General features: G+C 36.8%; 1 protein-coding gene across 56 annotated transcripts in view, besides 1 other annotated feature; it reads left to right on the forward strand.

The window, feature by feature from the left end:
- The window catches only part of NRXN3 (neurexin 3), a 1,697,919-nt gene that overhangs the window by 1,500,385 nt on the left and 175,050 nt on the right, over positions 1–22,484 (forward strand). For 37 of the 56 annotated variants that reach the window (NR_158973.1, NR_158974.1, NR_073547.2 and 34 more), the window contains one exon: positions 21,416–21,505. The exons of the other annotated variants lie outside the window; for them this stretch is intronic. Coding sequence is in view for 31 of the 37 variants with exons in the window: in XM_011537363.2 (XP_011535665.1) it covers positions 21,416–21,505 (90 nt within the window). In the remaining 6 variants the exon portion in view is untranslated. The remainder of the gene's footprint in view (positions 1–21,415; positions 21,506–22,484) is intronic. 56 annotated transcript variants of the gene reach the window in all.
- Positions 9,590–10,183: an enhancer, noted in NCBI's record as "NANOG hESC enhancer chr14:80146690-80147283 (GRCh37/hg19 assembly coordinates)". NCBI's record gives its function as "activates a minimal SCP1, AML or CMV promoter by ChIP-STARR-seq in primed H9 embryonic stem cells {active_cell/tissue: H9 hESC(primed)}" and the evidence as "EXISTENCE:reporter gene assay evidence [ECO:0000049][PMID:30033119]".

Raw genomic sequence — 22,484 nt, forward strand, 5'->3', positions numbered from 1 at the left:
CTTAAAGCATTGCATGAATAATAATTGTACCTGCAGGTGTATTGTCTGGATTATCTACCACCCGTATACATTTTAGGACCATTTTTTATCTTGACTTTCTACAATGAAGTTTACTTATGAAAGGTGAGAATAGGGGACTAAGAGATTTTCCATCTTGCTTTCTCATCCTTCATGGAGAATTCCACAATAGTAGAAACGGTTCCAAAGTGAGGGACATGTGCACTGAATAAACACTTTCTCCCAGAGGTGTAGGAAGTGGCAGATGGTGCCATTCACCGTCTCTCAGCCAAACTCACCCAGGTGGTGATGGCTGCCATTTGCCGAACATTTATGACATACTCCCCACTTCATGGGCAGCATCCTACTTAGTCTTGAAACCACCCATTAGGACAGCGTTGGTCTTATTCCCATTTTTTTAGATTAGGAACAGTCTATGGGAGTGTAGCTTAGTTTGGGAAATGCTGGTATTCAACCCAGAACCATCTGACTTAAGAGTCTTAATGTTTAATCACACTCTGCTCCTTCCTTAGATTCTCGTAAACACCCTAGAACAGTTGCATATCCTAGAAATTCTGGGTTTAACTCAAATCTTGACAATTTAGAATTTTTCTCTCAAGTTAAATTATAGAATTCCCCCCTCAGGTTAAATCTCTGATTTCTGCCCAGTCTAGAAGTCAGCATTTCCTTGGGCATCTATACATATTTGGCTTTATCTATATCATCGGTGTGGCCTCTGGAAGCCTTGTCAGCCTCTTTCTTTTTGCGATCTTGTTTTACCTTCTAGTGCCATATCTATGCAAAAAGAAAGAACTTTTAAATGAAGGTTTGTTTTGCCATTTAATAGTCTTGCTTGGGGAGTGACAGAGTGGCAAGAAGGTGCTTAGTATTTTTTTAATTTAATTTTTGTTTTATCAAGGAAACTTCCTTTCTTCTCTGTGAATTCCCAGCCACAGATAAACAGGCTTGTATCTTATAAGTTAAATACAATTACTGCTATCAAACCTAGAGCCTTTTTCTCTCTCCCATAAATGTCTCTAAGAAGCTGATAAGCATTTCAAGGCAAACTGGAGCTTGGACTAATGCTAAAATTAAACATAACCACCCAGAAGACAAAGAGACCAGATAGAAATACATAAAACATTTGAGGTGGTGGGAACACATGGACACAGGGCACATAGAAACTTGCCCCCAAAACATTAGGTTAATACATAGCTCAAGGTTATTTATAAAGGAATTAACATACACAAAGGAGCTTTTTATAATTATAAGGATTTACATCAGATAATAACAATTGTAGTAGCCAAAGATATTATTTATCTAGAATTCACTTGTGAACAGGGCATGCTTTTGGTCTACAGGGCTGTTGAGCAAAAGAATAATTTTGCTGCAACCCTCTGTAGGACTTTATAGGATGCACATTTACATTTTCCCCATTTTTAGTAGACTATCTTGGGATTTAAAGAAGAAGTTGGAATTTTAAAAATTAGAAAGCACATCATATTTATTTAGCCATATGTTAAATGTTATAAATATTATAGTTTAGGGACTCAGTAAAATGAATAATTAAAAATTTGAGGGTCACTTCTAGGTACAATGTAACCAGGGATGTAAGATAAAGAATTTCTTGATTTCCAACCATAATGCATCTATTTTAATTAAATAATATCTTTCAAGATTAGAAATACAGTGTAGTCACACTTTATGGGATTTTTAAAATTATACTTATCTGAAATAGTGTGACATAAATAAAAATATTAATAACATCTCCCTCTATGTGAGGCATCAGTAATAACATACATTCTTCTGAATTAAAACAATCATCAAATATTGCATAATTTCAAAGCTGGTTAGTGAATTACAAGTTTTGTTTTCCCTATTGTCACATGGAAGCTCTAGTTTAAGTAGTTAATACAAATTCTGGCCTGCAGAAGTTGTCTCTAATTACGAAAACTTAGAATTATTATCCCAGCCATAAAATACAATTACCCTGTACCGTTTTTCCTCTGCCCCAGAGCTGCCTGAACACCAAGTGTCCTACCACCCATACAAGAGCATAGTTTTATTTATGGGAAAAGTTTCCAAGTTCCAGTCTCTTCAATTTAAATTTTGCACAAGGTTGCAGAGTCTCTCTAGTTATTTAAAGTCTAAAAAGAACACTGAGCTTCTTTGAGAAAGGTGGTACATAAATATCCAATAATAATAATATATATTCACATACAGTATGTCATTTATACTTCTATAAAGCAGAGAAGGTAATGAAAGGTGCTCTATACTGTAAATCACTCAATCGATTGTAATCATATTGCAGCTCATCTCAAAGAGATAAAGACCTTCCACTCCTCTAAAATCCCTGTCAATATCCTAGCAGGCTGAAGAGAGGGGAAAGGGGGTCAGAAGAGGAAGGAGGGAATGAGTCAAGGACAAAGCGGCACTTTGAGTCTTCAGTTCATGGAGTTAACATGAATTTGATTGGATTCCCAGTGATATTTACAGTTTTCTCCATAAGATGCATTTCTTTTCCACACGGTACTTTTACAGCCTTTCAGTAAGTCCCTGATGCTCTGTGTTGGCCTTGATGGCATAGTTTACTAAGTGCCAATGGTAGATATATAGCACAGCATAAGAAGACTTAGGGACTAAGTTTATAAGTAGCAAATGTCAATTCGACAGAACTTAAATGCTGAAGTGTATATCAAACAATAGAAGTCGATTGATCATGGGCTAGCAAAAAATTTATATTGCACTTTCAAACAGCAGAAACACTGTAAAAACCTTTTTACTAACTGCTGTTGCCTTTAATGTAATAGAAGTATTCCCCTATCCTCATCACCGGGGTAGCTCTGAGTGGAGCCATTTCTTTATGCACTTATTCATTCACCTTCATTCACTATTCAACAAACATTTGTTCCACATCTACTTTATATGTGAATTCATACTAGGTGATGGGTATATGGTGAAAAATGAAACACAGCTCCTGACCTCAAGGATCCTCAAGTGTAGTTGAAGAGAAATACAAGTACACAAGGAAGACATTTTTATTGAGCAGTTATTAATTGCCAGGTAGGGTACTGGGTTCTTGTATCAAGTCTTTGCAGTAGCCCCAAGGGGTAGATATTACTGTTATCATTTCACAAATGAGAATCTGGAGCTTCTCCTAGGGTCAAGCTAGCACATGAATACCTGGAACTGAAGCCTGTATGTCTTAGAAGGCAAACCCAAAGCTCCCGTACGCTGCCCTATCTTGAACCTACAATTCCACAAAGTGAAAGAAGGTGCTACTATTGAGGTGAGATCCAAGTTCAGTAGCGGGTACACATAAATGCCTAATGGAGCCTGAAGATCAGACAGGGGCGAGCATGGAATACAATTTGGGATGTGACCTTGAATTATCTGGAACAATGCCAATAAGCTCTGCTCCCCTACCTAGTGTGAAAGATGACATGACAACTTATACCTTTCTCATTGAGGAAATTAATGACCATGGAATTCTTTCTTTTACTTAAATTTTTTTTTTACAGTTTTATTGAGGGATGATTGATAGGCAAAAAAATCCTGCGCATACTTTGATGAGTTTAGACATGTGCGTACACCTGTGATACCTTCAACACAGTCAAAATAAACACATTCATCGTACCTTATTTTACTTAGTGTCATCTCCCCAGTGGTTCCAAGGTAGAAGTATTAATCTCCCTCATTTACAGATGAGTAAACCAAGGTTCAGGGAGGTTGAGCACATTTGCTGTGGTCACTGTCCACCAAGGGTCAACTCTGAGATTCCACACAGATATGTTTGCCCTCATTTGCCCTCACAACCTAATACCCAGGTTGCCCACTCCACTTTTCCAATGTCTTCCAAGAGCACTCCAGTTTGCATCATCTACAGAGCTCAAATTCACATGGTTGACAGATACAAATTCACATGCAAATGTACTATTATTTCCTACATCCCAGTGCATGCAGAACACTGTAATCCCATTATTAAACATTTACTAGAAATGTGCTTCTGCCTGATGCACAATTGCCAGCCTCAATGTTTAATTAAACTAGATTTGTTTTCATTTTAATCACATTAGAGAAATGTGTTTTTCTCAGAGTTCAGTGGTGAAATCTTCATTCCAAATGCCTCCAAGTGACTGAAAACTGTATATCCCAGAGGAAGGGATGAGGGTATTACAACCTATCCTTGCATAAAATATTTTAGGGGAAAAATATTAATTAATAACAGGTAAGACTGGGATACACTATTTGTTTTTGAATCATCATAGCATCCTGGAAAGGGGTCCTATTATTATTATTACCATTTTAGAGATGAGGAAACGAAGTCTGAGTGGTTAAGTAACACACTCCAGTGTTGCACAGCTAGTAGGTGGCAGAACCAACATTTGGATGTAGACAGGGAAACCCTGATATCTTTATTTAGATTAGGGATCACCAAACCTTTTCCCCCAAAGGCCAAATAACAAGTAGCATAGGCTTTAGAAACCAACCTATCTTATAAATATAAATATATTTAGATATTAACTTCAATATTTTATTAATATAAATATGATATGATTTGCATGATCTTTGTTGCAGTTATTCCAGTCTGCTGTTATAATGCAAAATCTACTATAGACAATACATAAATGAATAGGCACAGCTGTATTCTAATAAAACTTGCTTTACAAAAACAAGCTGTGATGAACCACGTTTCCCCATTAGGTTTAGCTGGGGGAACCCTGATTTAAATCACGGATAGTTGGAAGCCTACAGCTTTTACTAATCCATCAGCTTTATTTTTTGAATTGTCTTATCTGTTTGGAATAAAGAGAGCAAGAGTATCTCTAAGTGGATGGGTTAAATCCCTAGAGAGACAGAGAATAGTACTACCGTGTAGGGTGACATAGACCTACTGGTGAGGTTAATTCAGGATAAAGAAATAAAGAGATACAATATGTAAGAAGGACAGGCACTCCATTTACGTATAGTTAAAAATGACAAACAACAAAATAGCTAAATACCATTTTTTTAATTCAACACCAAAGACAGACACAGATTCCATTCTAGAGCAAGATTTGAAGATGATGGACAGAAAGCATTGTTTCTTTACTTCTGTTACTTCTACTTAATAAGCCGTGGTGATTTAAATACACCCCTCTCTCCTAAAAAAATAGTGCTTACTTTTCTTTTAAATTCAAGAATTTTGATTAGCCACCCTAGCCTATTTCTCATAGCCCTTATGCATAAAGGTGCCAGTTGATGCCTTGCATTGATCTTTCTTTTCTCCTACCCGCACCCTGATTGATATGTCTGTCTTCTAAGTCTTAGAGAGCATGCCCTTCATTATCTCAGCATTGGTTGTCCCTGTCTTGCTGCTGAGAGCTTCCTGCTTGAGCTTCAGTTCCATTTTCAAGCCATTGATCTGATGTTCTGAGGATGGACTAGCCCACTTTAGAGGTGGCTCAGCCCACTTCATGCTATTGAGTTTTAGAGATTTTAGAATCAGATCCCCTATTTATTAAAGCAGCAAGACCAGGCTATCAGTTTTTATAGATGTGCATATGCCTAAAACCATGTAGTATTTAAAATAAATTTTGACCTACATCCTCTATTCCCCACCACGCCTGGTACCCACCATTTTACTTTCTCTTTCTATGTATTTCCTTCACTTTTATTTTTTGCTTTTTGGATTCCAAAAAGTGAGATTGTATAGTATTTTTTTTCTGTGCAAAGTTATAAGGGATGAATAAGTCTAGAGATCTAATGTACAACATAAGGACTATATTTAATAATATTGTATTATTATATATTGATAATTTGCCAAGAGAGTAGATTTTAGGTATTCATACGACAAAGAAGAAAGAAAGGAAAGGGAGAGAAACAATCACTGTATGAGATGATGGGCATGTTACTTTGCTTGACTACAGTCATTTCAGTGTTTATATGTATATCAAGATTACATATATACCTTATATGTATATATACCTTAAATATATACTTTTTTTAAAAGCCAAACTAAAGCACACTGGGTTTTTATTTACAAAATAGGGACCCCCTTCACAGTTTGCTGACCTCAATTTTGACTCCAATTAAGTTATCAAAGTTCTAACTACCAGAATAGAAAGCATATACTGCCAGATTTGGCCCTATAGTGCAAGAAAAGTGGTCACAGTTTTCTTAATCCTCTTTTAAAAAGGAAAGAAACAAACATAGTAGGTAATCAGTAAATATTAAACTGTACAACTGAGGTTTTTGGAGCTTTCTGACTTCAATGACTGCATATACACAACAAAAATATAAGTTGTTATACAGCATCCTTGACAAGCATTAACTATAAATACTTTTATAACAAAAGAAAAATATCATTTACTACAAAACTTTTAAGCTTTTGCTTTAGAAATGTTTCTTTATTGAAACAAATATGATTTTATTGAAATATTTTTTATATTAGTACGATGACTCTTTATTGGTCTCAAAGGGTGGATTGCCAAGTATAATTAAACAAAATGATAAATAGGAGGAAGATTTCAGTATCCTTGACAGAAAAATACATATAAATCTAATATAGATATATATGTAAAAAGTAAATCTAAAATCTTAGCCAAGGTTTAGAAATCTTATTACTTCATTTTTATACCTTTATAAAACTGTTGCGAGGTGCTGTTTCAAATAAAATAAAAATTTATGTAAGTAAAATACAAGCTAAAATAGAACTGAAATGTCTTTAGGTTTACAAAATGAATAGCTGGATTAGTTTACTGAATTTTTTTCTGTGGTATGGGTGGCACTGGATCTCTAGAATCGGTAAAAATAAAGGCAATATATTGTTCTCAGGGAGCAATTGAGCTCTCCTAGAGGAGGCAAACCAAGTGAAATCTAATAGTTTTGCTTCATTCTGTGACTTTCCCCCGCTATGACCTCAGAATTTTGAGCTACAAGTAGGTCTATAAAGGGAATTTTGGAATACTCTTAATAGATCTGTTCTTGAAATAAGTCAGCTAAACTGAGTGAGGTGCTTTGCCAACACATTAACTGAAAGTCCTGACCAACCCTGATCCCAGACCTTCATGGACAATTCTCTTGTTTTATTTCCATTTCCAGTAGTTGTATGTAATTCTTCTAAGAGACTTGTTCCAAGCCAACCTTCCTAGTGGTCTTGTTGAAATGAGATAGTGGTTGTAGGTATCATTGATGAACACATAGGCCAAAACATTATTGAACTATTCAGAAAGTAAATCTAGCTTATTCTGTGGCTGCATAATTATATAACTGTAGCTTTCTGTCAGGTTACAGTGGCTTTAATTTTCTGATCAAATAAAACAATCAATATAATTGTACTTTGTTCCTCCCTCTTCTGGCTTCGATTCTTTGATTTGTGCCACTCACCACTCTCATTCTTCCAACCTCCCCCTACTCCACTGGCCCCTGCAGCTACTTAGAATAGCTAGCTGTTGATTAAAGGGACCAAGAGTTTGAGCAGTTACTGTATACTTTCAAACCCCACTGCCATTTGGAAGTGAAGTCCCAACTGACATAGCCAAACTGTAAGGACAAAAGCAACTCTAATACCTGCTTTCCTTTGTTTATAGCAACTGCTCAAATTCTCCTCTAAAAGTATTCATTAAGCATCCTTCTCTATAAATCTCTGTGGTAGAAACTGAATAATAGGACTTGAACCATTATTCAATCAGACCAAGTTTAAACCCAGGTTAAGGAAAGAGGAAGTCTACACGTCTTTGCTGCTCACTGTGTTTAGTATATATCCTCTATAATTCACAATCAAAAGTAAATCTTTGGACAGCATTCTTGTTTGGGTTAGAAGAAAAATTTCAATCCTTGTTCAGAAGTCTAAGCACTTGTGAGGATTCCAATATGATTTTTAAAGGCCACCATCCCTGATAGTCAGAAATAAAAACATTAAACCAAGAAGACTGCAGGCTTTCTTCTCACCTGTCCATCTCTTGTCCTAATTACACCTTATACTTACTAATGTTGTAAGTGCTTTTTGACAAGACAGCAATGGTACATCAATAGATACTGCATGAACTTGAGTAGGCAAATCAAGTCACTCAGAGGCCTTCTTTTAATCTCTTGGATCATTATTGCAAAGATAAAAGCAGGTTTCTGAAGGAGTGAAATTCAAAGGAACCTAGTAATTAGAATGGTGAAAATACCAGGTCACCCGGTCCGTTTCCCTGCTTGGTTCAGATATTTCTAACAATATGTACTAGTTTAATTTTATTCATCTAATTTAAAATGAGAGACTTTATCTTTCTTCCACCAAGATAATATATCTGATTTCTCCTCTTTGGCTTAAATTTTTTTTTTCATTCACATCTTTTATTATTAGGGTTGTCAGTTGAAATTATTTTGAATAATTTCTTTAAATCATGGATTTTTTTCTTACATCTCATATCTAGGAGCTATTTCTTGTTGCAAGGTGCAAGGTTCTATGGCACATACAAAAGCATGCTTTCATTTGGGATATTTATAAAATCTCTCTATACACACACACCCATCAATGGGCAAATATAAAAAGTATTGCCTTTGTGCTAGCATGTAGTTAATATTCAATGAATATCTTTACACGTAAAATCACCTATAATCTTTAGACATGTTCCTCAGATAGCCAAGATTTAATATTACATATAAAGTCATATGAAATAGCTTAAAGAAGGAAGAGGCATTGTTATTTTATGTATATGTCTCAAATGTTATAAAGGTTATAAGAACCTTTCTGAACATCGAAAACTTCAAAGCTAATAGTTTAATAGTTTGTTGGATACCTGCCATCTTTTGAGGTGGCCAATAGTTGTCAACTTTTTGAGTATCCTTGAGCACTGAAGGTATGTCAATGTTTGGTTTCATTGTGTGTTAAGGAGGGAATTATAGAAGTAGAATGGAGTAAAAAGCTTAAAAAAGAAAAAGCACTGCTTCTAAGGTGATTCTAATTTCATAGGAAAAAAATACTTTAAGGACTAATATTCAATACAGAGTAGCGGAATCTGGGTGCCAGATAAATATTTAACATTTGTGGATAATTTTACATAATCATTGGCCACTTTCTTAAAAGTGTTTTTTAAAGCCCTAATTTTAAAAAATGCTATTCTGGCCATCACATTTACAATGTGAATAATATTTGAGTCATGACGTAACTATAAGTTACTTCTAATGATTGACTGTCACTTGAGTTGTAAATCACAGCATTTAGCAGTGCTAGTTGTCCTTACTTTTGGTAACCCCTTAGTCCCTGGATCTTGATCATTTTGGGGTCTTTACTCTAGAGTCTATCTTTGCTCTAGAGTCTAGCTGCCATTCACATGCTAAAGAAATGCCCCTTAAATAGTACCTATAACATCCTAAGGAAATGATTTCTAAACTCTTCTCAATGAGTTTAAAAAGGCTGCTTTTTGCTAATCCATAAACTTTAACAGGGGCTGAAGAGGCAGTGCCTGCTTTTTAAAAACCAATGTTGCAGGCTGGGCGCAGTGGCTCACACCTACAGATGCATGCCTATAGTCGCAGCTATTTGGGCGGCTGAGGCAGGGGAAGGCGGGAAAATTGCTTGAGCCCAGGAGGTGAAGGTTGCAGGGAGCTAAGATCCTGCCATTGTACTCCAGCCTGGGCGATGAGAGTGAAACCCTGTCTCAAAACAAAACAGAACAACAGAAAAAAAGGTAAAACCAAGGTTGCAAGGTAGGACTGTTTGTGTGTGTGTGTGTGTATGTGTGTGTGTGTGTCTAGTTTTGATCTTTAATGAGAGTTTTGGTTTGTTTCTATTGTTGTGTGTTAGTAGGGAATGTGGTGGAGGAGTGCCTTTCTAGTCTAAGTATACGTAAGTGTATTCATGACCAGTATTCAAAGGGTATTCATACCCTGCAGGGACATAAATGGTTTTGTTTTGGAATGTTAGGGTTAAGAATGAAAGTGATGGCCCTGTTTGCTCAGAAAAAAAAGAAGGTAATCCTTCAGTGCTCTCTGTGAAATCATGTATGGAATGAAAAAATTCATTGATGGGGTGAGAGGTCTCAGTGCCAGCAAGTCTTACTAGTAAATTCAGAATTCAGCCTGCTGTTCCTAGAGATCTTCCTCTCCACTCCTCATCCAAAGAGTGATAGAAGGAGGTCAGATAAGTAGGTCCTTGTCCCTTTAGGGAGCTACTTAACTCTACTCATTATCGTCTTGGAGTCAATCCCCACCTCATTCCCTGCTCTTCCCCTAGTCTGTGTCTAGAATCAAGGATCAGAGAAGCATCAACACATGCATCAACCTTTCTCCAATTTTCCTTCCCTTTCCCAACTCCCTCAGCCTTACCCTCTCCTCTCAGGAACTGCATTATTGCATCTCTTCTTTTGGATTTGGTAATTCTTTCCTTAGAAAGAGGAACAGGGCTAAGGATAGGCAACAGGGGCCCAGCTGTCCATGTCTCCATCCTTGGACCCCTAAGACTTTTGCCACACAAACTCCTTTGAATCTGGAGACTGCAACGGAGCTGCTTCCCTCCTCCTGCTGAGCCTTCATGGAAATCCTCATAGGAGATAGTGTTTCCTTTACCCACTCTCGGACCCCTGTTCTTCCTGGATCTCCTGAATTCCTGGCTATATCATTTAGGTTCGCTGCATTGCAAACCACTCCAAAATTTCCGTGGCTCATGTGAGTGTTTTTTTCTCTTCTGGGTTGGCTTGGATGGAGCTAGATGATCTTGATGGCCTCATGTACCCCTCTGGGGTCTCAGTTCAGATAGCCGAGTAGGTTCACATGGCTGGGTTTCTTTTCTCATGGAAGTTCACATGGCAATCTCAGGTGTAGGCAGCAGGCAAGGGCAAGCATTCATACACAGATGGCTCTTCAAGCTTCTGCTTATATCACATTTGCTAGTGCCCATATGCCCAAGCAAGTCTCACGGCCCACCCAGAACCCCAAGGGTGAAAAGATAGATTCAAACTGTTATGAGAGGAGTAAGAGTCTCACTGCCAAGAGACAGATTTTGAAATGGGATTGTAGCTATTTTTTTTTTTTTTCCAATTTAACACACTGGAAAAGAAGAAAGGCTCTGGTTCTACTAATCATATTTCCCTCGTAAATTTTCTCCTTCCAACCCTGATTCAGGTCTCAAGCTGTGGTTGGAAATCAGTGACTTTCACTAAGGGATTGTCCTTTCTTTTCTTTAGGACATGGCTTTTTGAAATTAATCTTGATTCTTTCTGCCATATCCCAAGCCTTACATTTTTTTCCTTTTTTTCTCTATGTCTGATCATTTTGCTTTAAGTCAAATTGATTTTTTAAAAATTAAATGCCCATTAAGAAAATTATCCACATTCATGTTCCCTTGGATGCTTTCAAATATTTTATTTTCCTTTGCTTTTGGCAGTTACAATCTATCAGTGTTATTTGTAAAATGTCTTATATTTGTATAGGGTATGTTCTCCCTTTCCTCTTTTCTTCTTTTCTTTTTAAACTAAGATAGATGTGTTATAAAACAGCCCCCATGCTGATCCATACTTTTCTCTAGACATTTCTGTGAGCTCAGTACTTTGTTGTTTATCATTATCCTTTGTTTGTAGCCAGATTTGAGGCCATGTTGCAGTTCTCACAAACAAATCAATTTGAATTAATTTGCCAAGTAGAATTAACGAGGCATTGTATGAATTCAAGACATACTACAACTACGGCATCCCCTGAGGTTATTTCTTCTCTGGGAAAATTTTGATTCTTGTACCACATTTTAATAGTGTATATCTGACCTTTGAATCTTGCACTAAATGATACATGGCTGCCAGCTGGTTTAATTTTTGAGAAGCCTTAAAAATTCTATGCAGCCAAACAAATAGGAGTGTAGACAATTCTTTAATTATTAACTTTACGGGGAGAAAGTTGTCTTCAAGATCGATACTCTCTGATGCTTGCTTGTTGCTAGGAGTTCTTTTTCTAATGATGTTCTAAGCAGAAGTTTGAGAAACATCAAAATAGAGAATATATATTTCTTAGATGGTCTTTGAGGTCTCCACAACCTAAAAATGATGGGCTCCTTCTCTCAAATTATAAGCTATAAATCCCAGCAAACTCTACTCCCAGAAACTGTTTTTATTTAATTATAAAATGGGAAAGCATTTACTCTAAAGAGGGACCATGGTGATTACCTGAAATTCCTTCACTCCCTAAATGGACATCTACATCTGTCACTAATATATTATTTAGCAAAAGAATTTCCTTCAGACTATGATGACCAATGCAAACAAAATAAATAAGAAAATCCAGTCCCCTCCCACCCCTCACACGGTGAGGAAATGGTAATAGAGTTCTTCAAAGAAACTCTAATTTCTGGGTCTTAGATGAATAACATTAGAAGTGCTTAAGGAACTTGAATTCTAAGCCCCTTTAATGTTCGCTCAGAAATAATTAACAGGAGCCAGTCAGAATAGAAAACTAGTCTGGGAAAAGTGTCCTAAATTTTACACTGTATAATAGGATGGATCTCTTAAACTCGGGACTGATATATAAAACTTCTCCAGTGTTTCATTTGACCAAAAATTGGCACACATTTAGCTAGATTTAAAAAAGAATATGGTGATGGCTGAGAACTAACCTGGGCTCATTAAAAAACAAACAAACAAAAACTCACGCATGCTAGTGTAACTTTCTCTTGGATAGCAATAGCAAATTGGCAGGTGAGGAGGATATTATAAATACCATGCACAGTGTATCTTCATTTCCCTAAAGCAGTATACTGTAATGTACAGAGAACTATGAAGGGATCTTAAAGAGACCTGCCTGTGTTCCATCATTTGAAGCTTTCTGGTTACACTGTAAAGTTTGAGGTAAACTAAAATAATAAAAGTAAAATTTATTATCTCACAGTTTCTATAGGTCAGAATTTGATAGCAGCTTAGTTGAGTGATTCTGGCTTAAGGTGTCTGATGAGTTGCAGTTGGTATGAACTACGGCTGCAGTCATCTCAGTGCTATCTAGACCTGGGAGATCTGATTACCTGGAAATCTTTCACTCACATGGATGTTGACTGGAAGCATCAGTTACTCTCTGGCTCAGTTCCTTGCCTTATGTATGTTTCCATAGAACTTCTTAAGTGTCTTCATGACATGAGTCTAGCTTGCTCGAAATGAGTGGTCCGAGAGAGAGCACCTTTTATGACTCAGTCTCTAAGTCCACACACTGTTCCTTCTACCGTGTTTTACTCTGTAGAATCAAGTCACTAAGTCCAGCCCACAATCAAGGTTGAAGAATCAAACCTCACCTCTTACACAGAGGAGTTTCAAAGTATTTTTAGATATTTTATAGCTCCATCATAATCTTCCTATTCAGGGACTAGAATGAATGCACAAAAAATATGCTTATTAAATTTGCAGATAACACAAAGCTAAGAGAGGTATCTCCTACCAGAAACAAAAAATCCTAGAGTTAAACATTTTCTTACCATGTTTGGATGCTGTTATGAAACAAAAAGAATACATTTAATGAGATATAAATACCTGTTGGACGTTCATAAAGTATGTTGTATGAATGCAACGTGGAACAATTTCTTTGGGAAGCCATTCAACTAGAAACTGGCTTGAGTTTTAGTTAGAAACAAGCCTAATATGCGGTCCTGTTATGATGTGGTTGTTGAAGCAACGGTTGCAAATCAGTATACTAGTCAGGCCTCCTGTGGGTGGTGACTAGAACAGTGATTGTTACTTTTAGATATTTTGGGAATAATAAATTCATTCTTAGGCAAGGGGGTTCAAGGATGGTCTAAAATGTCTACAATTTTATAAACACTGGCAATTCTATAGGATGTATACAGAAGGATTACTATGTCATAAGTTTCTTGAGCATCGGAGATATTAATAATAGCATGACTTTCCTGTTGTCGGGATGACAATGTTCCTGTGTTGTGCAGCGGAATTGTCCTCCCAAACCTCCTCCCTGTCCTCTGAGCTGTGTGGGGACACCACATATGTATGTTTAAATGAACAGAATTTTAAAAAATCAAATATTCTGGCATTCTGGCTTCAAAAACCTTGCGTTTGATGTTCTCTACTTAGAAATAAATAACCAAACATGAGAGGAATGAGAGGAGATGGGGATGGGGAGTGGGAGGAAGAGGGTAGATAGAAATAAAAGGAAGAACAACATTACAGAGAAGCAGAGATGACACAGAGGGTGGACACGTGGGAAGGCCTGGATCACAGGGGAAAGAGTGAGCCCCAAAATAACACTGTGGCTTTTGCAGCAAGGAGGAAATAAGTGATAAGAGGAAAGGCACCTGGGGAAATCTTGAAGGGATCATATGTCAAACGGCTGAAGAGCAAACATTAAAGCTTTATTTTGAAAAGGATATTTGAAAATATTTGACACCAAAAATTCTGTAGGGAAGTAATTCTTGTGGAGTTTGCCTTCTTTTTAGTTTAACTCTTCTGAATCAGGTACTTGTTATAACAAATCATATATTGAGGGATTATTTTGTGCCACAGATTTGCAACATGCTTTATATACATTTCCTTTTAATTCTCACCGCAATCCCATGTTGCAATTATTATTACGATCCCCTTTTAAATATGAAGAAACTAAAACTTAAAATGCACTAAGACATGGCTAAAACTAAGCATGGTTACCAGAAAGGAACAAGACAAAATTCAGACATTGAAATCAACTACTGTAGCTTCAGTGCATATTTCAGAATAATTGTGGAAGGAAAAAAAAAGTGACATTTGAGGAAAGAAAGCAAATTTTACAGTCAGTTTATGTTTTGTTAATTTATAACATGGCCTTTTTGAGAGGGGCTCTTAAATAAAGAATTGGTGCCAGGTTAACCTGGCATACTGAAGAAAGTTTCATTTGAAGTTGCTTGAAAATATTCTCTTAAATTATAGGAATGAATAAAGAGGTTGCAGTCGCCTGGGCCTAGTTTTATTAACCTAACTGGGATTGAAAGTATCCTTGATAGAGGAGGAGAAATGAGCTTCAGGAAGTGAGTTACAAATGGCCTCAAAGTACTGAGAAAGGATAATGATTGGTAAAATATGTTGTAATTATTGCATCAAAGTAAATCATTTTAGTACATAATACCTCAGCAGAAATGGATTTTTGATTTGTTTAGGATATGAAAGAGAAGTCTAATATTAACATGTATGCACAAAACATGTATGTTCAACCAGCAACAGACAGCAAGGAATAGGGGCATGAACATTCGGATAGCTGGACGTAATACACCAGGGTTACATCTCCGGCATGGTTCCATTCCCATTCCATAGCCTATAAGATATTTGGACATGATAGGCCAGGTGTGGTGGCTCTTGCCTGTAATCCCAGCACTTTGGGAGGTCGAGGCGGGTGGATCACGAGGTCAGGAGTTGGAGACCAGCCTGGCCAACACAGTGAAACCCCATCTCTCCTAAAAATTAGCTGGGCATGATGGTGCATGCCCATAGTCCCAGCTACTCGGGAGGCTGAGGCTGCAGTGAGCCAAGATCACACCACTGCACTCCAGCCTGCCTGTCTCAGAGAAGAAAAAAAAAAAGATAGTTGGACATGATAACTACATGTCTACAGGCTCATCAGAGAGAGAGCACAGGCAGAGGCTAGAGCTCAATGCAAATATCGAGACTGAAAAAGGTTTTGGAAGGCTCTCAAGGCAAGGATTTACCCTGACTCCCATCCCCCTGCTGTTCAAGGCTCCTTACTGGGAGAAAGAACTTTCTTTTCTAAGCCTTAGGTGAGTGTTAGGGAAGGATCCTAAGAATTAAAACAAATCACAGGCTCTCTCAACTCCCAACCTCTTTTGATTCCCCACAAGCTAAGCCCTTGCCTGAGTTATTGCATTTAATTTGGATAAAACCATGCAATATAGATATTACCTTTTTTAAAAAAACAAAAAACAGATGAAGACACCAAGAGTCATCTAGATTAAATAAATTGCCCAAGTTCACAGAACTGATAAATGTCTGGACTTGATTCAAAGTTTGTCTGACTCCATATCCAATATTCTTTTCACTCATGTTTGGGCCATCTTTGCTTAAACAGATCAACTAGCACAGCCTAGAGTTGGTAAACCCATACTACAACTTTAATTTAGGAAGGAAATGATACTGTCTGCTCGTATATATTTGCCATTATCAGAACATATCCAGAAGACATGTAGAGGTGAGCTTTATCAGCCAACTTGGTGTACGACAGGGTGATTTGCACTTCTTTCCAGGGTCTCCCTGGCTCAAGGAGCCACTTAAAAAGCTCCCTTACTTAATAATGCCCTTGTGCTCTGGGTCTATTAATTTACTTCCCACAAGCTGATCAATTTTCTGTTCCAAGACATTAATTTCTTTACCTTGGCACATTAAAGGATCAAAGCTCACAACATATAAATAGTTCTTTTTCCTTCTGCCCCAAAGGTGTGTAGTGAGGATTAATGAGATGATGCTTATAATTGCATTTTGAGCTCCTTGGTCGAAAGGCACTTTATAAATACAAGATATTAGTTTTTTGCTGAGATCCATCTATCACTTACAAGTGGCCAAACATTCTAGATGGCCTTTGGGTGTGCAACACCTCCCTCTCTGACTCTGAGTTGGTCTGGGACAATGCCAGAAATGTGGCTCAAGCCAAGTTCAGAGTTTCTGGAGTTCCCTTCCTTTAGTGTCATATACTTTCTCTGAAACTTAACTTAGAAAGTGTTCTTTGGGGGAAGAGACATGGCAATAACCTCTAAACTGCCCTAGTACTTGAGGGCAGCAGTACCACTACATTGATTTTCTTTTGCCTCTGACTTTAATACATAGCATTTATTCTTTGACTGTTCATTAGACCCACAGTCTGATTTTTTAGTGTCAACAAAGCAATAAAGAAAATTTGTTCCTCCTTTATTTCAGGGCTCAAGACAAAATTCAAAAATGCCTTTGGCATTCATTTTGCACAGACGAATGTTGTTAGGATATTCCTATTAGCATGTCCACGTGCTTGACAACATTTCAGGTGGTATTAATAGTCTACCTGCAAGAAAGTGCTTTCTGCCAGCCTGGTGCAAATTGGCAGAACCTTTAAGCCACTCTTTCTCAGCTTAGCAGCAGTATATCATCATTACCTGTGGCTGGACCAAGAAATCACATTTGTCAATGCCTGAATTGCTCTTTTACTTTCAGTGGTTTTAGAAATCCACTTTGTTTTGGAAATGGGCTTAGCTGAGTATGTTAGAAGATACAGAAACATATAAAGTGATAGATAAGGGATTTAAGGGAATATTAAGGATGTTACATTTTCTATGGTCAGTTGATCTTTGGAAGATGACTTTTGTGGGACCAAATAGAATATGGTCATCTTTTGAATGAAGGACTGGTAAGTGGGACCAAATAGAATATGGTCATCTTTTGAATGAAGGACTGATAAGGTAGTGAGACAAGGGAAGCATACCGTGGAACTAATGAGCTTCCTTCTGATCACTAGAAAAGAGTCGAGTCATATTAATAATGATAGTTTAAATATGCTGTACTCCCTATTATTCTATACTAAGTCCTATGGTAAATTGAGAAATGGGGAAACTGAGGCCAAGTGACTTGCCCACGATCACACAGCTAATAAGTGATAAAGTTAGAACTCAGGACCAGATTTGTCTCCAGAGCCCATGGTCTTAACTCCTATGCTGTATTGATTATGGCTTTAAGAGTATTAGTATACCTTCTAATTAAATAGGACCCATGTTTGGACCAATAAAGTGTAAGCGCAGTGTTGTAAAAGTTATTTTCCATGTTATACAAGAGTTCTATTTTTCAGTTTTTTCACTTGAAATAATTGTATTCCTTGGAGACTGTTAATAAATTTCGAGTCTCACCTTAAAGAGGAATTGATGTATATTGAGGCCTACTCAAGGGTCAGTTTGCTTTCCGTTTCTTTCCCTTTTACTTTTATCCTAAGTGGATTCACCCAAAGTGGAAAATGTGAGGTTGGAGTGTAAAGGTTGGAACTATGAACCAGTTGGGCTTCAATACTTTCACCTCAAAGTATTCTGTTCTTCACAATATTATAATTCCACAGTGCATGTGCTTGTTGCACACGTCTCCAGGAGTTGAAATACTTGATATTAGAGCCAGTGGTCCAAATGAAAATGACCAGAAGAGGCCAAATGTATAATGTTCTCAATCCCTTATCAAAAATAGATGGGAATAAACACACATATATTTAAGTACAATAAAATGTGACTAATATGTTTTTTTCTAAAACCCAGTCCCATATAGGTGTCGGATCCACAGAAGTAATTTAAGAATGGTTTATTTGAAGATCTCTTTGTATAATTTATAGATTTCTCAGTGTGATTAAGAAATGAAGTTATTACATTTTTTTCTCTAATTAGTAATGCACGTATGCCTCCTTTTAATGATATTATGATGTTTACTACTCATAGGGCCATTCTTTCTTGAGTATAGCCATCACTTTCTGTTGAAGAATTGATTTCACTCTTTGTTTAAATGTACATACTTGTTGCTATATGAAATATATGACTGAATATCATTAAAGATTTAGCAAGAATGTAGGTGAATTTGGTGAGGTTTGTTCAGCTTTTAGAGTAGCCCTGTATAAGAATACTTATATTTAGAAGGTTGTTTGCGCTTCAGTCAAACTAGCAAATGAGGCATGGGGCAAATAACTCATTCTCATGCACATGTTTCTAAAACAGTTCTTACTAATGTTTGAGATAAATTAAAATAAACACCAACAAGAACATGAAAAGAGACTAAGAACAATGTTAATGCGGCAACTTAAACAAATTTGGTTTTCCAAATGACCTTCCATCTTTCACAACTTTTAACAGCATGCAAGATTGCTATCCTTAGTGCCAGATACTATCAATCTGGTGTGGAAAACTTAAAACTTTTTTCTAAATGTCTTTAAAGCTGAGGTGGAGAAGAATGACTCTCTGTCACTTTCAGAAGGGTCTAAGGTTGAATCATGACCATGCTGTCCTTCCCCATGTCACTTACTGTTTATCTAACATAGTTATCTCTTTTTCTAGCCTGTATCATGCCCCCAGATTATTTTCTATGGTGCTTTACGTTTGAAAGAGAGTAGATGATGAGGGTGGGGATGCTTAGGAGGGACAAGGGCCCTGTGTATTTGGAGGAAGTAAATTAATACAGCTTCTTAATTAATTTGGTGTATATTAAATTCTAGAAATTTGGAATTTTAGTTACTTCTGATTTTGCCCTGCATTTTGCTAAGAATATTTAGCTTTATACTTGCTATCGACTACACCAATCTATTCCGTAGTGAGTAGAATGAAGGTCATTAATATATTTAATGTGTAGCCAACAATGGCAGATACAGAAAACCCAAAGTAATAGAATACATTCAAGGCAGATCTGGCGCAAGCCAATTACCTTTTCTCAGTATAGTATTCTGTTGTGTCTAAAACCCTAGAGGATGAATGACATCCTTTATGATATCTGTCACCTGTAGGGTAGGATTATGAGTTATAGATGTATATTCGTTTCAAAAAGGTACACGTTCTTTTTCTATGAAAACGTCTAAAAAGTTTACTCAACTTTATTTTGAATGAATAGAATGTTGTACCAAGATCTACCAAGGTAGACCATTATAATGATCTCTAATCGATAGCTATATTCTTTCGCCATGGGCTATTGAAACACCAAGAAATTAACTTGCCTGTCTCTTTTTCCTCTTTGCCTGCCCTCTCCATTTTTTTCTATGAGAAATGATTCCTTGAGGAAAATTTTAAATTATCCACTGCAGTTCGAAACTGTTAATTGTTCCTATTGCATTTTATTTTTCAATACATTAATATGTTATACCCTGTACCAACCAGATACAGTCCCAAAACATAGGCTAGAAGCAGATTCATAGTTGCCTCTTTTATGAGTTCTTATTTTAAAAATTCCTGGTAGTAAAGATATGAGTCAGCTTGTTAGAATAATTTGTCTGTATGAGAAGTGAATGGGGAACCTTGTGAACATCCTCCAATATTGCTACCCGTTTCCTATCCTATACCCCCACCCTCACAACACAGAAGGTAGGTACCAGTTTATTCCCAGGTGGAATCTCCTCAGCCAATAATGACTCCTATATGGAGATGGCCCTGCAATTGAAATGCTTTAGCATGCCCCTATTCATTTGGTCTGATGCTATATGCAATTCTAATATTCTTTATGGCTTTTAGAATTCTTTGTAAATTGTTTCCAAGCCACCTGGTTTGAGATTTTTCTTTCATTTTTAATATTGGTAGTTTGGAATGGAGTTCCCCAAGTTGCAATATAGGCCTATGAATCAAAAGTAATGAATTACAATTCACTAATTTCTGCCAGATCAATGTGAGGTTGGTTGATGAGATAGAACAGTTCCCAAGGCATGGCTTCATCATTTTGTTATTTGAAGCATATTCATTAAGGGTGTATCTCCACAGCACCACTCTCCAAGTCTGTCCTAATTATGGAAACCATTCAGCAGTGTTAATAACAGTTACGAAGGAAGAGGGGGGGCATACTGGCAGTTAAAACCACTATGTTTGAGCCTTGAAACTAATTAGATATTTCATGCTTGGAAGAAGTATTCCTAACAGGCTTTATGAATGGATGCTTGTTCAGAAAGGTCCTCTTACAGTAAGGTAAGAGAAAGAGAAAGCAGGAGGGAGAGAGGAAAGGAGGGAAGTGGAGGGAGGCTAAATATACAAAATCAGTGTCTATTATAAAATATCGGTGCTCAAAAGTCTACAAATGTTGTACCACTATATTATAATTACCTCTATTTCCTTTGACATTTGAGTTTCCTTATTTTTAAAAATGTGGAACAAATCTGGAAAGATAGTGATATAAAAGCTTATCTGTACTGATCTACCTCTTTGACAAAGATAATGAGATGCAAGGACATCCTTTATGTAATAAGAAGTCTCCCTTGGCCATCAAGGCTTAAATTGTCCTCTCCTCCTTTCCCCTGTCGGAACATAAAGCTGTTGCAAACACTTGAGAGGAGAAGAAAAGAAGGACATGGCCCTATGTTTCTGATGGGAATACGGTAGATTAATAGTGCAGCTTGCGTGACTGTGGAGCGAGGGTCCCGTCTCACATGTGAAACTGATCTGGCAGGTGAATTAGTCATGGGTCAAGGAGATCCTTGTGTCTCAACTGGCCCAATTAAGGTGTGGTTGAGATGAGACAGAGAGAGAGTGAAGGTAAATCCATTTCCGTAAACGGCCAGACCTCTTAAGGATTCCCATTCCATGCCACTTTTCCAAAACATGATGGAGTACTGCATGGCTAAGACTAACCTGACCTTTAAACCTATCGACCAAGGGCAGAGTGACTTCAACTCCACCTCTACTAAAGATAAATTGATATCTATCTCTAAAAACTTCATAAAACAAACCAAAAAACCTAGGATGTTTTTTAATGACTTATTGACTTTTCAGATTGTTCTTTAAGCTGTTTTTTAAACTTTAAAGGCAACACTGATAATGAACGCTTCCAAATGGTAAAACAGAAAATCCCCTTCAAATATAATCGGCCTGTAGAGGAGTGGCTGCAGGAAAAAGGTAACCGTCATTAAAACTTTCATTTTAAAATCATTTGATCCTAAACCCTCATTTTTAAAGCCTGCAAATAAATGTTCCTTAAATGATAATCGCCTGCTGCATAAATGACTGTTTTAATTTTCATTATAATTTGTGTCAGCTTCCACCTGCCATATGTTGATAAATCATGCTATAATACATTGCCATTAAAATACAGTTAAAGGGACTAACTTCTAGCCTGCTATCAGCATGACAAACACAAACAAGAAATTCCAGGAACTTCTAAAACAGAAATGTATTATGGCAATTTAACCACTGCATGACATTATTTATTAATTTGTTTTAAATTACCTTTTACACCAAAGCTTTCTAAAGAAATTCCAAAAGGGCTTTTTAAACTTACACCTGGAGGCTGTTTTGGCTTGTAGCATGCTTAACAAAACAAAAAACAAACAAAAAAACAAACAAACAAAAAACCATAGATTGACTCTTGTAACTTAAACTACTTAAATATTGTAAGGGGAGCATTTTTTTTTAACATTTGTTCTTAAAGAAAAAAATGAAAAAGATGAATTTTGCCTTTAAAACCTACAGAGGCAAAATTATTTTCTAAGAGATTAAGGTTGTGTCCTAGTTGCTGACTGAAACTAAAAACAAAAACAAACTTATTTTACACTTCGGTTGTGTGCATACACTTGTGTATTTGATGTTTTATGCAACAAAAGTGTAAGAAGTTAACATAATGAGTTGGAAAAGAAAAGGTTCATGAAAGGCAAAACAGCAGTCTCTGATTTGCTGGAGACAACAACCACTGTTAATAAAAGAGGGCAGCGGTTATAACTGATGTTAGAATTTTCCTGTATAGCTTCTAGCTGTTAGAAAATAAACCATTGTTTTTCAATGAAAAACAGTCTCTAAGAAGATACGTATTCTTTGTTGTTGTTGTTGTTGAGCCAGTGTAAGCTACTCTTGTCTCAACACCTAAAGGGAGCTCTTAACA

This window comes from Homo sapiens, chromosome 14 (genome assembly GCF_000001405.40).
Source record: "Homo sapiens chromosome 14, GRCh38.p14 Primary Assembly".
Taxonomy (NCBI): domain Eukaryota; kingdom Metazoa; phylum Chordata; class Mammalia; order Primates; family Hominidae; genus Homo; species Homo sapiens.